This window comes from Homo sapiens, chromosome 10, assembly GCF_000001405.40.
Source record: "Homo sapiens chromosome 10, GRCh38.p14 Primary Assembly".
Classification (NCBI taxonomy): domain Eukaryota; kingdom Metazoa; phylum Chordata; class Mammalia; order Primates; family Hominidae; genus Homo; species Homo sapiens.
The window spans coordinates 123,499,171-123,514,677 of record NC_000010.11 but is presented as its reverse complement, the minus strand read 5'-3'; the positions used below and the strand labels follow the sequence as shown (position 1 = coordinate 123,514,677).

The following is a 15,507-nucleotide window of genomic DNA, read 5'->3' as shown; positions in this document are numbered from 1 at the left end:
TCCACAAAGCCCCAAGACCCGGGGACACTGGCTGGCTGGGAGGTCAAGCTTGTCTGGGGTCTTGCATCTTTCTTGTATGGCCTGGTGCAGCCCTGGGCCTCTCTGAGTCTCAAATCACAGACTTCCTAACACTCCAGACCAACTTGCTCTCTTTCTTCTTCCAGCTGAGGTACCAAGCGTTGCCCCTTAAGAAGGTTTCAGAAGTTGACTTCTTTACAAAGCACATGAATGACCCCGCTCCTCATCCTAACCTCAGGCCCTTGGGTCTTACTGAACAAAATCCTCTGCCATCCTTCCTGATTTTTGTCCCATGATCCCCTATACTTTGCTGGGCTTTGACCTGCCTCTTTAAAATTTGCAATTATCGATAATTCCCTTTGTTGCACCCAAATGTGAACCACCGTATTAAATTATTAAATATAAGTGTTTCTGAAATATTTTATCTTGACATGTATCTCCGGAGTCCAATGACCCCAGGCAGTGTTCATAATTAATTTCATCAAAAGGAAAAAAAAAAAGTGCCGGCAAGGGACTCCCTGAACGACTCCCTGTCCTGGAGAAATACAGCTGACACTTGGCTCGCTTCTCCTTCCCTCCCCTTCCCCAGGACTCCAGGACCAGGGAGGCTGCAGCGCTGCTATGTCCACAGGAGCCCGGAATTTCAGGCCTGGGGGGAACCCGCGTGATAATTTTGGCAGCTCTTTCTTTTTCTGGCCAAAGAAACAGGCCCAGAGAGGAGCGGTGACCTTCCCAAGGTGGCAGAGACCGAGGGCAGCAGAAAAAGCCATGGGGCTGCCCCCAGCCAGGTCACCCACCCCTCACTGTAGCTTGGCCCCCGCAAGACTCCGAAGCCACCAAATAAGGCTTCTTCCTCCTTTGTGACCTTCAGGACCAGACAGGTTCATTTAAAGGAGTAGGGGAGCAAAACTGCTTCTTAACATAAAAAATGCCCTGAAACAAAGGGCTTTTTGTACCCCTCCCCCACCAAGCTCAGAGAGAAAGGGAGATTAAGTTTGAGGAGTCACTTCCAATCAGAAAGCTACCATTTAATTACAATGCGCAGGAAATTACAGAGTGAATGGGCAGACGGGTGATAAGGGACTGCCCTGCAGGATGACAGGCTTGAAATCCAACCACTTCATCACAGAGCTACTTATCACAAGAGGCTGTCTGGAAGGCTGACAATCTGATTGTACTGTCAACTCAATTCATAATTAATATATTTATCAAATTAATTACTGAAAATATCTCCCTGGCGCTCGCCATAAAACAGTGGCTAGCTTCATGGCGGGCTGGCTTCGTTTTCTGCTAATAACCGTGTTGTCAGTTTAATGAGGGCAGGGAGCGGCCCCTGTTTTGCCTGCCTGACAGACAAATTGCCCTCTTACAGGGAATGATCCCTAGAATTTAAGAGAAGAAAAGAAATATGGCATTGTTTGGTGACAGCCGCAATCGCAGGCTTGTCTCGGAAACTTTGCATCAATTCTAACATACAAGAAAGGGAGGGTGGGGGTGCTTTTGGCAGTTAAATAAATACTTTATGAATTCCTGACTGATCCCTTCATCAGAGCCTCTGGTGGAGCGGTTTCTCTGAGTCCTGAGTTAACCCCCAGCCTGGCCGGAATCTGCCAGTTGAGGTTTAGATTTGAGGACATAAAATGTAGGAGACTCTCACTCAAGGATTTTTTGTGAAGCAGAGAAGTTCCCGTGCCAAGGATTCCCAATGCACAGTGAAATCCCTTCGATGACCCCCTTGACGATTTGATCTCTGGGTGGAACGATCGTTTTCCTCCCTTCCTAGGGTGGGGAGCCAGGCCTTGAGAGGGTTTCTGAGTTGAGATCTTTCCCAGGGGAAGTCTGCTTCCCTTAGGGCTCCCGAAGAGCATCTGGTGAGCCCCAAATGCATTGCACTGTGCTCTCAACTCCCAGCATCTGGGCCAGCACCAGTCACTGGGCAAAGTTGACTCTGCCAGTCACTGGCTTGCCTGCCCCTGTGGATGCCCACCAGCCCAGGTGAGCCAAGACACGTGGGCCCGGGAAACGCGCAGGCAGCACGATGTAGAAAGTCCATCACTTAGCTGAATGGGGCAGTGACCCCAAGGCAGCCTCATTGATCTCTGCAGAACTTGCACCCGGGTCAGAGCCACCATGGAGAGCCACAGCGAGCAATGTTCTAGCGCAACCAGCAGGATTCCTGGAAGAGGCAGCATTTCAGGAGGTTAGCGGACTAGAAGAAACAGAGAATCTCGTTGTTCACCGTGGTCAGCCAGGCGCTGGGTGGGCACTGGGAAGAGAATGGTTTGGACAGAGGACAGGGCCTCCGGGTGGGGAGGCTGCCACAGACTGGAGGGTGCTTTCGGAGGCCTGGGGGAGGAGAACGCTCACTCTTAGGCCCTGCAGGCCCATTTCTATTCTGGCCCCATCTGCATGCACCTCACTGAGCCACGAGGCCTATGGTTTCAAGGCTTCTTTGGTGCACCGTGACCGTAGCCTTGCACTTGTCCTGGTCTCTGCTCTAATTGCCTCACAAACGCCAGTCTTCTTGGCTCTCCTCATCCCTCTGTGCCTTGCTTCCCTCCTGCTCCCCAGCCCAGCCCCTCCCCTGCACAGTTCCCCCAAGCCCGTACTCCCCTCCGGGCCCATTGCTCTTTCTCACTGGAGGGAAATAGCAATTTTCCTCAATAAGCAGGAAAAATAATCACTCGCTTTTGCCAGATGCCAGGATGAAGGGTCTCAAGGACCCTGGAGGGGCTGCACCTGCCTCTGTGGCCAGGCCTCGCCCCCTCAGCCCAGCCCTCAGCTCTGTTTCAGGGCCAGTTCTGGTACTGGCCAGCTCCTTGTCCTCAACCGCCCTCATACCTCTGAGCTTCTGTCTCAGCATGGGGCTGCCATGTTCCCACGCTTGGGTCTGGCCTGTTGGCGTCCACTCACCAGTACTCCCCCTTAGAGCAGAGCAGAGAGTCCCCCTTAGGGACAGCCATGGGGGAAGGTGGTGCCTTTGGAGCTCATGCCACTGACATGAGCAACCCACTTTGAGGACAGAAGGTGCTCGGGCCAAAGAAATCTCCCTATCCGTTTAAGCCACAGGTGAAAAACCAACCTGAAGGAAAGAAAAGAAAGAAAAAAAAAAAAGAGCTCAGCCTGGTGGGCAGGGGCTAGAGTTCGAATCAGCTTAGACGGTACCCATGTCCTGCCCCAACAAGCAGCGGGCAGTGGACAACCCCAGCCTGCATCGGTGTGCATTCTCATTCTCCTAGAACCCAAGTCAGGCATGAGAACAAGCTTCCAAGCGACCAATGAATTAAACTATCGTGTTAATACTTCGATTAACTTAAGTTTAATAATTGTTTAGGGTACTTAAATATGTGCGTGTGTTCCCTAAGATGTTTGAAGAGCTCCAAAAAAGGATGTTATCCTAATTTGAAATTGTAAAATTGTTGAGGGAATTGGTTATCTCTTGTCAATATACAAATACATGAATGCTTCATTTTCACAATGTTGTTTATTAGACAAATAACTCACAAGAACTGATAGAGAAGTTTTTTCAAAATAGCTTGCTGTGTTGGGTGGGAATGCAGGTCGAGACAGGGAAGGGCCTGGCCCTGCCCTTCTCACCAGGCCAAGTCAGCGGACACCAGAGGAGCCAGTCTGTGGGGTCAGCAGGGGACATCCAGCAACATCGTCTTAGGAGGCCTTCAGTAGCAAGAGATATGGATAATTTATACAATGTTCAACTAGCTTTTAAACAGCCAGGTTTTCCTATACAGTGACTGGGTTTCCATAAAACAGAGACAAGGCCTGCCCACTTGGCTCGGGCGCGGAGGGGATGGTGTTGTAAAGTTAATGCAGTGAGAAATGTATGGCACTCTGACATTAAACTCAACATAGGACATAAAGAACTGGGCCTGCTCTAAGCAATGGCAGCAAGGAAGGAGATTAAGCGATCTTTGCCGATAGAAACCATGCCTGCTGAATGGGAACGAGCCTCCTTTTGCTGCAAAGCTGGGAGCCAGAAGGGAGAGAGGTGGTCTGGTGGCTGCTTGGCCAAAAGGTCTGTGCTGCAACCCCTATGTGGGTCTTTGAAAAGCCAACCATATCAGCCCAAGTAATTGACCATTCCTGGACCCCAAAAAGTCAGAGAGGAATTGAGAAAGAGAAGAGCAAAAAAGAGAAAAAGTTTGAAGCAGTGACAAAGGCTGCTGCATGGGGGTCTTGGGGAGCAAGTAAAACATCTCAGGGGGCAGAATGATGCCCAAGATTGGAAGGAGGAGAGGAAGGCGGGAAAGAAAGAATAAACCAGTGGAACTAAAGCAACCTCAGGCTTTCTTCTGAGGTTGAGTTGTTGGCCACAGACAATTTTTACTTTCAGAGGAAAATGATGAGGTTGCCTGAGTCAGGAGATAGGGAAAAAACCGTCTGAGTGAAAAACTGGTTGGAAGTGAAGAGAGCAAAGACTATCTGAGGGTCCCTAACATCCCTTGCATCATTCTCACTAACACAGACTTTTAACTGGGACAAAGAACAATGACAGGTCTCAGTAGAGGGGAAGAAGATGAGTAGAGCAGACCTCAGGGACATGTGACAAAGCTTTCCCCAAGCCCACAGTCTCAAGCTCTAGGTGCTTAAGAATCACCTGAGAAGCTTAGACTGCAGGTTTCTGGGCTCCATCCTCACAAAGTCTGATGTGTTAGGTCATAGATGGGGCTCAGGAACCTACATTTTAAAACATATCCCAGACCATTCAGATACAGAAGAAAAAGACATATGAGGATCAGGCTTTGAGAAACACCAGCCGGGTGGGAAATAAGAAAGGTCAATAAGTCAAGGGAAGGGTGCCAGGAATTTTCCAGAGATGCTGAAGTCCTGGAATTAAAAGTTCTTATATGTAAGGGGTAGAACATGGGGCCTGTGTTTTCTTTTCCTTCTCCTTTTCCTCCTCCTTCTTCTTCATCATCATCAAATCAGACAAACTGGGAGAAAGATTGTGCTATCAAGAACCAGTGCCAGGTGAATCACATTTTACATTTCCTGCTGGAATTCAGGAAGTCCAAGACCCCTGTTAGGGCTGGTGAGGAGGTACAGGCTGGCTGCCATACTTAGCAGGTGGGGAGGAGAGTGTGGTGGCCACAGCATGATGGCTGCCCAGGAGGAAAGGAGAAGGGAATGAGGCAGCCTAGGAGGAGGCCTTCTTCAACCAGACAGTCAGTCAAACACCAGCGCTCGCAAGTCCTGGGCCCAGGTACTGAGGTGGGGCCATGGCAGAGTCAGGAGGACCTAAACTGTGGTCCCCATGCTCTTGGGTCAGACCACTTCTTCAGCCACACACCAGACTCATCACCCAGTGGCAGCACAAAAGACAGTGCGATCTGACAGAGCGATAAAGGGAAGTCACAGGCCAGTGTGATGAATTGCTACCATGGTCCTTGGTGGTCCAGAAAGTGCTGGAATCATCTGGAATATGTTCAGAGCCGCAGCTGACTAACTTGCAGCTGGGCCAAAAACAAACAAACAAACAAACAAAACTAAAAACAAAAAACAGAAAAAGCACACACCTAACTCAGAAGTTGAGAGCATGAGTCCCTAGACAGAGGCCAAATGATAGCAAGAGAGGCATAACAGGCAAAACCCTGGTCTAAGTAGCAACCACACAGCAGTGCTGTGTGACCTTGGGAAAGTCACTTCCCTTCTCTGAGCTTCAGTTTTCTCTTTGGTAAAATGGGGGAGCTCAATATGATGTCTTCAAAAGCCCTGGTATCTCTGAAAGCCTATAAAACCATTCTTATTTTAAAAAATAATAATCCCCCTGAACTTTAGTAGCCTTAAAGCCTTCTGGACAGTAAAGACATTATAATTTAAGAAGTAAAGAAGAATAAACCTCTTAGGAGATGTTAAATGTACTAAAAATAAGATTAAAATGAAAACCTGGCCTCTATCAGAAAGCTTATATATAAACTGAGATGAACTCTGGTGACCTATGACTCCCTGGCCCACCCCATATTGAAGAATCCTACTCCAGCCTGAGTCTCTTTATGACAATAGAATTTGGGGTAGTGATTTAATCAGTTTGCTTTGGAGAAAAGAGCAGAGCAAATGCTGAAGTTGCTCCTCCATTGAATCTTGTTCTGCTGGCTTCTCAGATTTCCTTGTGGACAATGACTTTCTGAGAATAAAACCCTGCACCAGGAATCACAAGGGAGTTTGAGACTGTGTGGAACACCAGCCTTAATTACCAGCTCATCACTGTCATGGTGAGTTAATAAATGTGTCACATCCAGCATCACTGTTGCTGCCTCCCACCTTAAGCAACAGCTGAGCCCAGCTGGAGAAGGAAGCCCGGACCCCAAGTTTCATGTCTTCTAGACTCTACCAGAATGTATCTGTGTTTCTCTCATCAAAGAACAGGGAACTCCCTAAAGACATGAGGATAATGGAGGCACCCAAAGCATGGTTTACATGCAGTTAAAGAAACGTCCCAGGATGAGGCAGGGAGGACTTTGTAAGCCAGACAGACCTGGGCTCGGTAACTTTTGAGGAGTTAGGTAAATAAACTGCTTATCCTCTCTAAACCTGAATTTCTTCATCTGTGCCAGACATATGGCAGAGACCCAGGAAGGGGAATGTGACAGAGAAGATATCCCAGAAAATGGGCCCACATGCTCTTCCAGATGATCACCACTTCCCATTGTGACATGGAGTCCATTTTGACTCCCTTGAACCTGGGCAGGACTCTGTGACTACTTCAATGAATAGAATGTGCCAGAAGAATCCTATGTGACTTCTGAGGCTAGATTGGTGTCTTAGTCCATTTTCTGTTGCTATAACAGAATGCCAGAAAATTAGTAAATTTATCAAGAAAATGTGTTTATTTCTCATGGTTCTGGAGGCTGGGAAGTCCACGATCAAAGGGCAGGCATCCTGTGAGGACCTTCTTGCTGTGTCATGGTGGAAGGCATTACATAGTAAGAGATCAAGAGTATGCACATCAGCTCAGGTCTGTCTTCCTCCTTCTATAAAGCCATGAGTCCCGTGCTAAATCAAACTAAAATTGGCACAAAGAGGCCTCTGTATGAGTTTCTAACTGCAACCTAATTCAGTATGTAAACAAACAAAAAACCTGACTTAAGAACAAATAGCTGAGTCTCAGCCAACAACATGCAGCCAACAGTTCAAACCATGTTTACATAAGACAGATGGGTGCTGTAACCAATTGGTTGTCTCTGTACCTCACTTCCATTTTCTGTATATCACTTCCTTTACTCTGGGCTATAAATACAATCTGAATATGTGGTGGGGCAAAGCATTATGAACTATTTTTGATCAGAACTACTGCCCAATTCTAGAATCACAAAAGCCAACTGAGAGCTACAAAACTAGGTGTGTTGTAATTTAGCCTCTCAACATCCATCATGGGGGCCCCACCTTGATGACCACACCTAATCCTAATTAATTCTCAGAGTCCTCACCTCCAATCAACATTTGAATTTGGGAATTAAATTTCTAATACATGAAATTTGGGGACACATTCAAGCCACAGTAGCCATAAAAGGTAACAAGGCTTTTTGGCTCTTCTGGGACATGCACCTTGGGATCCCCGAGTTGACATTAGGAAATCGGTAACCCAGAAGCCACCATTCTGAAGAGACGGTGTGGAGAAGGTTAGCAGAGATGGAAATCCAGGGGAGGGCTGGGCATGGTGGCTCACGCCTGTAATCCCAGCACTTTGGAAGGCTGAGGCAAGTGGATCACTTTAAGTCAGGAGTTCAAGACCAGCCTGGCCAACATGGCAAAACCCCAACTCTACTAAAAACACAAAAAATAGCTGGGTGTTGTAGTGTATGACTGTAATCCCAGCTACTCAGGAGGCTGAGGCAGGAGAATCACTTGAACTCAGGAGGTGGAGTTAGTAGTGAGCCTGGAGATTGCACCACTGCCACAGAGTGAGACTCCATTTCAAAAAAAAGCGAGAGAGACATCCAGGGGATCCTAGCTGCCCCCCTGCCTGCCTTTGGAGCCTTCCTGGCCTGGGTGCCAGACAGTGAGTGAGTGAGTCTTCAGAGGATTCCAGCCCCCAGTCTTTGAGCCTTGCCAGCTTTTGCCAAGTAGAGCAGATTACAGATTCAAGAGAAAAGTTAGTGCTGTTGTCATTTGATGTTTGTCAATGGTTTGTGATGCAGCCTTAGCTGGCGGGAGGAAGACTATCTGGGTTGTCATTGTTCTGCATGGGAAGATGCAGGAAGGAAATCAGGATTGAGATTGGAGGAGGAGAGAAAGCCCAACCAGCGGTATATGGAGAAGACCCGAGAGAGCCAGAGAAGACACTTGGCTTATCTCTCCCAGCTCTAGTGGATATGGATCATTCTTAGAATGACCTGGGGCTAGTTATCTGGGCGACAAGACACAAAAAGTACTGAGAAAGCTACCTGGAGGGTCAGAAGAAGATTCTGAGGCCCTTCTTTTTTTTTTTTTTTTTGAGACTGAGGTTCGCTCTTGTTGCCCAGGCTGAAGTGCAATGGTGCGATCTCGGCTCACCGCAACCTCCAGAGGCCCTTCTTATGATTGCTCAAAGAAAAAGGAGAGAGTAAGCCAAGTGTAAGACACTCGTCTGCCCTGCCCTGGATCCCCCTAGCAGCCATAGAGACAAAAGCCAACCGACAAGGGAAAATCTACCTGCAGTCATAGAAGATGGTTCCATTTCAAACCCTCAGCCAGAGATTGGCAGACTATCCCTGCGCTGGGCCAAATCCAGCTTTCTGCCTGTGTTTGTAAAAAGTTTTCTTGGAATAATCATGCTCACATGTATATGTATTGGCTATGACTGCTTTTACACTACATGGCAGAGTTAAGTAGTTATGACAGAGACTGGCCCACAAAAACTAAAATATTTGCTTTCTGACTCTTACAGAAAGAGTTTTCCAACCTCTGCTTTAAGCTATCAGAAGTGAAATTCTGAGACACAAAGAATCCTGCCCTGGCACGGTCTCTGCTGAGAAAGGCCCACTGGGGTGTGTTCATGCTGTTCCATGCATTCTCTCCATCATTAAATCCTCAGAAACACCTAAGACACAGCAGGCTCCCAGGGCCACCTTGGAAACAGAAAGGTGAATCTGCACAGTCCTTATCCTGTAAGAGATCACAATGCTATGCAAGAGATGGCAGCACCATCACGGAATTCAAGTCCAGGACAGTAAGAACCAAAATGGAGGCACAGCCTATAGGAGTCTGGTAGCTTAAAGAAAGGCAACCAATCCCATGTAGGAGTGGGACGCCACGGAAGGCTCCTGGAGGAATGATGGTGGTCCTAGGTTCTACAGGAGGAGCAGGATATGGTGAGCATACAGGGGCAAGGTGAGGCTATTGGGGCAGAGGGAGCAATAGGTACAAAGGAAGAACTGAGTTGGGGGAGCATCCAGAAACAGGCACTTCAGCTCACCGTGCTGGGAGAGCCTGGTGCCAGACAGGCAGGGGCAGGAGAAAGGGCCAGAGATGTAGGATGGGTCAGGTAATGGAGAGCAGCCAGGATCTGTGGACAAAGTAGACACACAGATGCCAAGTACAGCTTTGTCGCCACAAAGGACCTGAAACGTACAACTTTCTTAGACTGGGGAGAGAGCAAGATCCCATGGGCTATGCCTACCTGCACCACAACAGGGATTTCTATGCTGACTGTTTTCCTGTGTTTATTGTAGTCCACCACCCTGGGACTCTGGCCCTTCTAGGGGTCAGAGTGCAGGAGTAGCCACAAGGAACTGTCCATAAGCGGTCAGGGCCAGAGGTCCCCCACCATGTTGGGGGACACCCTTGAACTGATGTGTTCAGTATCATTTTTACCTTAGCAAGTTTCATCTCAGGTCAACTTTCAGGTGGGGAGAAACAAGTTGCCAGGTAGAGCACATGGATGGGGAGGGGGGCACAGCGACATGCCATGTGCCATCTTCAGGTGAGCTGCAGGTGACTGGTGCCCTGGAAACCTCTCTTTGAGAATGCATCAAGACACAAATCCCAAGGAACAAGTGGGCCTTTGTTGATGAGTCTGGCATCTGGGAGTGAGCAGGGAGCAGGCATTTCAGCTTTGGCAGGATCATGGTGGATTTAAACTTGAGGGCAGCTGGGAACAGTCAAACCCCTTTGTTTCTGTATAACACACACTTTTAAAGTTGTGTGGTCCTCCCACTTTGTCTTAATTAGAAGCAGATACCTTCACTGCTGTTTTCATAATATTGTTGCTACATGCAGAAGCGTTTCATGAACACAATACTGATTATAAACTCTGTTCCCCCCACAACCTTGCTTACGCAATTATTACTGTTATTTTCATTATCATCATTATCATTATTATTTTTCCCTAAAGAACTAAGGAGAGTCACTGCTATAAAGAGGGAAAATTCTGGCCGGGCACAGTCACTCATGCCTATAATCCCAGCACTTTGAGAGTCCAAGGCAGGTGGATCACCTGAGGTCAGGAGTTCGAGAGCAGCCTGGCCAACATGGTGAAACCCTGTCTCTACTAAAAATACAAAAATCAGCCAAGCATGGTGGCGGGCTCCTATAATCCCAGCTACTCAGAAGGCTGAGGCAGAGAGAATTGCTTGAACCCAAGAGGCAGAGGTTGCAGTGAGCTGAGATTGCACCACTGCACTCCAGGCTGGGCAACAGAACAAGACTCCGTTTTTTTTGTTTTTTTTGTTTTTTTTGTTTTTTAAGAAAAGGAAAAGTCTGGAGTTTGAGACCATCCTGGCCAACATGGTGAAACCCCGTCTCTACTAAAAATAAAAAAAATGAGCTGGGCATGGTGGCAGGTGCCTGTAAGTCTCAGCTACTTGGGAGGCTGAGGCAGGAGAATTGCTTGAACCCTGGAGGCGGAGGTTGCAGTGAGCCCAGATCACGCCACTGCACTCCAGCCTGGCAACAGAGCGAGACTCCACCTCAAAAAAATTTTTGTTTTTTCCCCTCAGGCCTCAGGCCCGCCTTGGCCTCCCAAAGTGCTGGGATTACAGGCATGAGTCACTGTGCCCAGCCAGAATTTTTCTTCTTTATAGCAGTGACTCTGTAGCGTTGGTGGGGAAACGCAGCTGCTATGGCATCAACTTGGGCTGTACTCCATCTGTGGTGCTGGCACCCCTCTGCCAAGAAAGCCTTGTTTCCCTGAATCAGGAAGGCGGGGATACCTGGGAAATAAACATTCAGCTTGGCTGCAGGTCCTAGCTCTGCCCCAATGTCCTGGATGATACCAGAGAGCAAGTCTCCGACATCTGCAGGCCTCCGTTTCTTCATCTGCACAAAGGGAAGCTAGACAACCCTTATGTCTTTCTTACAATAAGCATTTTGAGCTTCTTTGCAAAATAAAGCAAATTAAATTAGAAATAAAAGCCTGTCAAAAACCTAAAACCCTAATCCTCAGAGTTAAAAGATATAAAACTCTTAAAGGCCTATAATGCCCCTGCTGCTTTAGTCTCTGAAACCAGTGTGCAATTGGGTCAAGGATCTATAGATGGCAGCCTCTTGCTAACTAAGATCTGAGGGGAAAAAAATGTTTCCATTGATCTACACATTCTCAGCAAATGGAATAGGGCAAGAAAGGCAACTGAAACTAGGCAATTTATTATTTATCTTCAGAAGTCAAATAAATCTCCCATAGACCAACGTGGCCATTGGGAATGTTTAATCTTGAAAATAAAAAGTGAGTGTGTTTCTAAAGTAATTATCTACAAATCATATTTTCACTAGGAGAAAAATATTCCATAAGCAAACATGTAACTTGTGAAATATTATCATCTGAGCATTTAATCTCGTGGCATAAATTCTACAAAAGCAGGTGAGTCCTCTTTGAGATTCTCCTCAAACGATTCCTCTGCTCCACTTCAGTGGCCCCTTCGATGCTGCTCAGGTGTGAAACCCTGATCCAACGGAATAAGAGATGTGATTTGAACATCGATCTTAAAAGAATCCATTTTGAATCTTTACACCCATTTTGTGAGCCTCATACAACGAGTTGACATTTGCATTCAAAAGTCTACACCATTTAAGAGAGTTAGGCTTCACTGACAATCAAAGACATTCTCATTAAAACAAAGAGATACTATGTTTACATTCTCATTTGACTGAAATTTATGAATGACAGGTATTAGGTTGAGCCATTCAAAACAGTCATTTTTATAGGCAAAAAAATGGTTGGTAAAAAATCAGCAAGTTTATATGATTCAACCACTATGACAGGGTCGTTGGCATCACTGAGAACCAGGTCAATGGGTCCTGCTTTTGTAGGGTGTGGTCTGGTGATAACGGCCAGGCCAACAGGCAATTTTGATAATGGAGGGCAGGTGCTATATTAAGGGCAAAACAGGCTCCTCCAGGACTGGAGCCAGGGAGCTGACCCAGGAAGGTGGGACATGACTTCTCAGACAAGAAGGACATGTTTCCTTTGCAGGTAAAGCAGGGGCACCTCAGGCCAGGCCAAGGAGATGGCAGATGCAAGGCCTGGAGGTGTGAGTGCACAGCAGTGTGAGGTCCTGGAAGAAACCCAGGGTGTCGGGTCAGGAAGGGGAGATGAAGCACAGTGAGAGGCGGAATAGGGAATTGCAGGAGACGGATAGGTTGAGGGCCCTCTGAGCCGTGATGGAGAGAAGCTCTCCATCTGAAGCACAATGGGAGCCACTTGGGCTGACAAATAGGAAGACTGGATTGGCCATTTAGAAAACAAGAAAATCCCTCTGGCTTTAGTATAGTGAATTAAGTAAGCCAAGCAAGAAATGGGGTGGGGAACTTTGACCAGCTGAAGTGAGAGATGCTGACAGCCTACTCCAGGGGAGTGGTAATGGACACGGAGGTGAACAGAAGGCGTGGAGATGTTTTTTGAGATGGAATCTCAGGATTTAGTAGCTGATTGGATGCCAGAGAAAAGAGAGAGGGAAGTTTGTGTCATAGGTGATGCCCACACAGATGGCGCACATGGGGTAGACAAGACTTGGGGAGGAGGTGATGAGTTTGCCTTGGGGCATGGTGGGTTTGGGGTGTTTGTGGGCCATCCAAGGGGCTTTGCAGCAGCTGCTGCAGCCACAGATCTGACACTCACTGGGGAGGCCTCTGCAGGAGCCAGCACTAACTTTGGGGCTGGATGGGGCTGTTGAGGCATAATGTGTAGAGCTTGTCCCCCGACTTTTCTGTGCATAGGAACCATGGCCCCATCTCGGCCCTACTAATCAGAATCTCAGGGGTGGTTGCTGAGACCCTGCATCTTTAACCACCTCCCTAGGAGACAGAAGGAGACAATCTGTGGGGCCAATTTTGCAGAAGCTACACAAGAGAAAGACAATAATAGCAACATGTGAAAGAACCTAGAATTCAGTGTCTAAATTTAAAAAAAAAAAACCACCACTGTTGAGGGTAGTGAAAAAGATTTTCATATGCTGATGTGAGAGCACACGTTGAACTTGTGAGTAAAAAGACCTGAAATGTTAGTGAAAATCCCAGGGAAGAAAATCCTAGAAATAGTGTTGAAAGTAGCAAAGAATTAACTTCTTCACACAAAAATGCTCTGAATGATCAGAGCACAGATTTCACATTCCAACTTGTGTTCTTATGTTTAGTGAAGCTTTTGTCATAAGGAGCATTTAAGGATGAGAACCCAAGTTAGGCAGGATAAACGTACAAAATGTGCCCAGGAAAATGGAATTTACCATTGTAAGGGAGAAACAGATTTAATACATTTGTCTTATTATTCGAAGGAAACTGTAAAGCAGCTTAATAAAACATCAGAGTTCCTTACTTGGTCAAATGTGTGAATATGCATTCATTGTCTAAGCCAGAACTAAAAGGTGCAAACCAAGATTATCAATCTCTCCCCGGCCCCGAACATTCCCATTATGCTCTGTTTATGCCTCTATTAGAGCATTCAGCTCAGCCGGTCTGGGACTGAATGATTTATGCCATGTCTGCTCTCCCACCCCACAGTGCCCTGTCCTTTAGGGCAGAGATCTTGTCTTCCTCACCTCCATGGTCATTATTGGTTAACTTGAACTTTCATCATTATATAGAGCTTCCCCATCTTGATTTGCAATTCCACAGTTTCTCTATGTCAGAGCTTGATTTGGGATTCTCCCCAAGGTTGGGCTCTCAACATGAAAGGGATCTTAAAACACCAACCATAAAACAATTTTAGGAAAAGAAAAAAGGCACAACAGAAGCAGAGGAAGGAGGAAGGAGATCCTAACACTCAGAGCAGTGTTGCATGACAAAGAGTGGGTTGAAGAGGAGAGAGATCCCTGAGCAGCCCACTTATTTGGGATTCACCAGCTCACCCGCACTCGCGCAGTGCTCTCCTGATAAGCTGCAAAATCTAAAACTCCTTATTAAATGTCAGATAAATCGGCTAGCCTGGGGCGAAGCCAATGAATGGGCAGCGTGTGCTCCAGTCCAGTTCTGGGTAATTGATGGGCTCTGAATAAGCAGAACCAATCCAGGCTGATTGCGGATGAAATGACTGCAGCCAGCAAAGTTCAAATAAGAAATATGTGAACTTTAAAGTACTTGAACACAAATCAAGACAGTGAGTTTTTATAAAAATCTTTACTAGCTCAAACCGCTGAAGCTCAGAATGACCTTTATCCTTGGGGTGAGAAGCTGGTGGGGTAGGGAATGTGAACACCATATATCAGGCTCAGAGCCATGGGAAAAGCACAGCAGGGAGGGAGAGTTTGCTGGATTCACTGCTCCCAGGCCTCTGAGTCTGTGCCCGTGTGGGCAAGGGAGGCAGTGACTTTGAGATGTTCCCTCTTCTCCATCATCATCTTGCAGGACATGGGCCAGGACTTCATGTTTTCCTTAACCTTAGGGATAATGACGTCCTTGCCTAATGGAATCAGGACTCTCAGCTGCAGGCCCACCTTCTATTCTGTGGTCAGACATGAACAGGAGCCTTTTGTGGAGCTCCCCCAGGCCCAGCGTCACAGAGGCCTTGCTGATGCTAGACACTTAAACATTTGTAGAGCACCTGGATTAGTCTGTTTTCACACTGCTGATAAAGACATACCCGAGATTGAGAAGAAAAAGATGTTTAATGGACTTAACAGTTCCACATGGCTAGGGAGGCCTCATAATCATGGCAGAAGTCAAGGAGGAGCAGGTCGCGTATTACACAGATGGCAGCAGGCAAAGAGAGCTTGTGCAGGGAATCTCCCATTTTTAAAACCATCAGATCTTGTGAGACTCATTCACTATCATGAGAACAGCGCAGGAAAGACCCACCCCCATTATTCAATCACTTTCCACCAGGTTCTTCCCACAGCACGTGGGAATTGTGAGAGTTACATTTCAAGATGAGATTTGGGTGGGGACACAGCCAAACCATATCAGCACCCTTTGTGCTAAGCCCTTGTAGTTGTTCATCTCTCTTCCACACCCAAGCCCTCCCCCATCTATTCCTAAAAGGAAGGTTCTGGAGGTCTTCAGCTGTAAAAGAATAGAACTGGGTTTTCACCTGCATCTATTGGACTCGATCCCCTACTTTCACCC

General features: G+C 47.1%; 1 long non-coding RNA gene across 9 annotated transcripts in view, besides 2 other annotated features; it reads right to left on the bottom strand.

Annotated features, from left to right (window-relative positions):
• Positions 1-15,507, bottom strand: part of LINC02641 (long intergenic non-protein coding RNA 2641) — a 214,291-nt gene that overhangs the window by 47,536 nt on the left and 151,248 nt on the right. The window lies entirely within an intron of this gene.
• Positions 239-786: an enhancer, noted in NCBI's record as "H3K27ac-H3K4me1 hESC enhancer chr10:125273408-125273955 (GRCh37/hg19 assembly coordinates)". NCBI's record gives its function as "activates a minimal SCP1, AML or CMV promoter by ChIP-STARR-seq in primed H9 embryonic stem cells {active_cell/tissue: H9 hESC(primed)}" and the evidence as "EXISTENCE:reporter gene assay evidence [ECO:0000049][PMID:30033119]".
• Positions 787-1,335: an enhancer, noted in NCBI's record as "NANOG-H3K27ac-H3K4me1 hESC enhancer chr10:125272859-125273407 (GRCh37/hg19 assembly coordinates)". NCBI's record gives its function as "activates a minimal SCP1, AML or CMV promoter by ChIP-STARR-seq in primed H9 embryonic stem cells {active_cell/tissue: H9 hESC(primed)}" and the evidence as "EXISTENCE:reporter gene assay evidence [ECO:0000049][PMID:30033119]".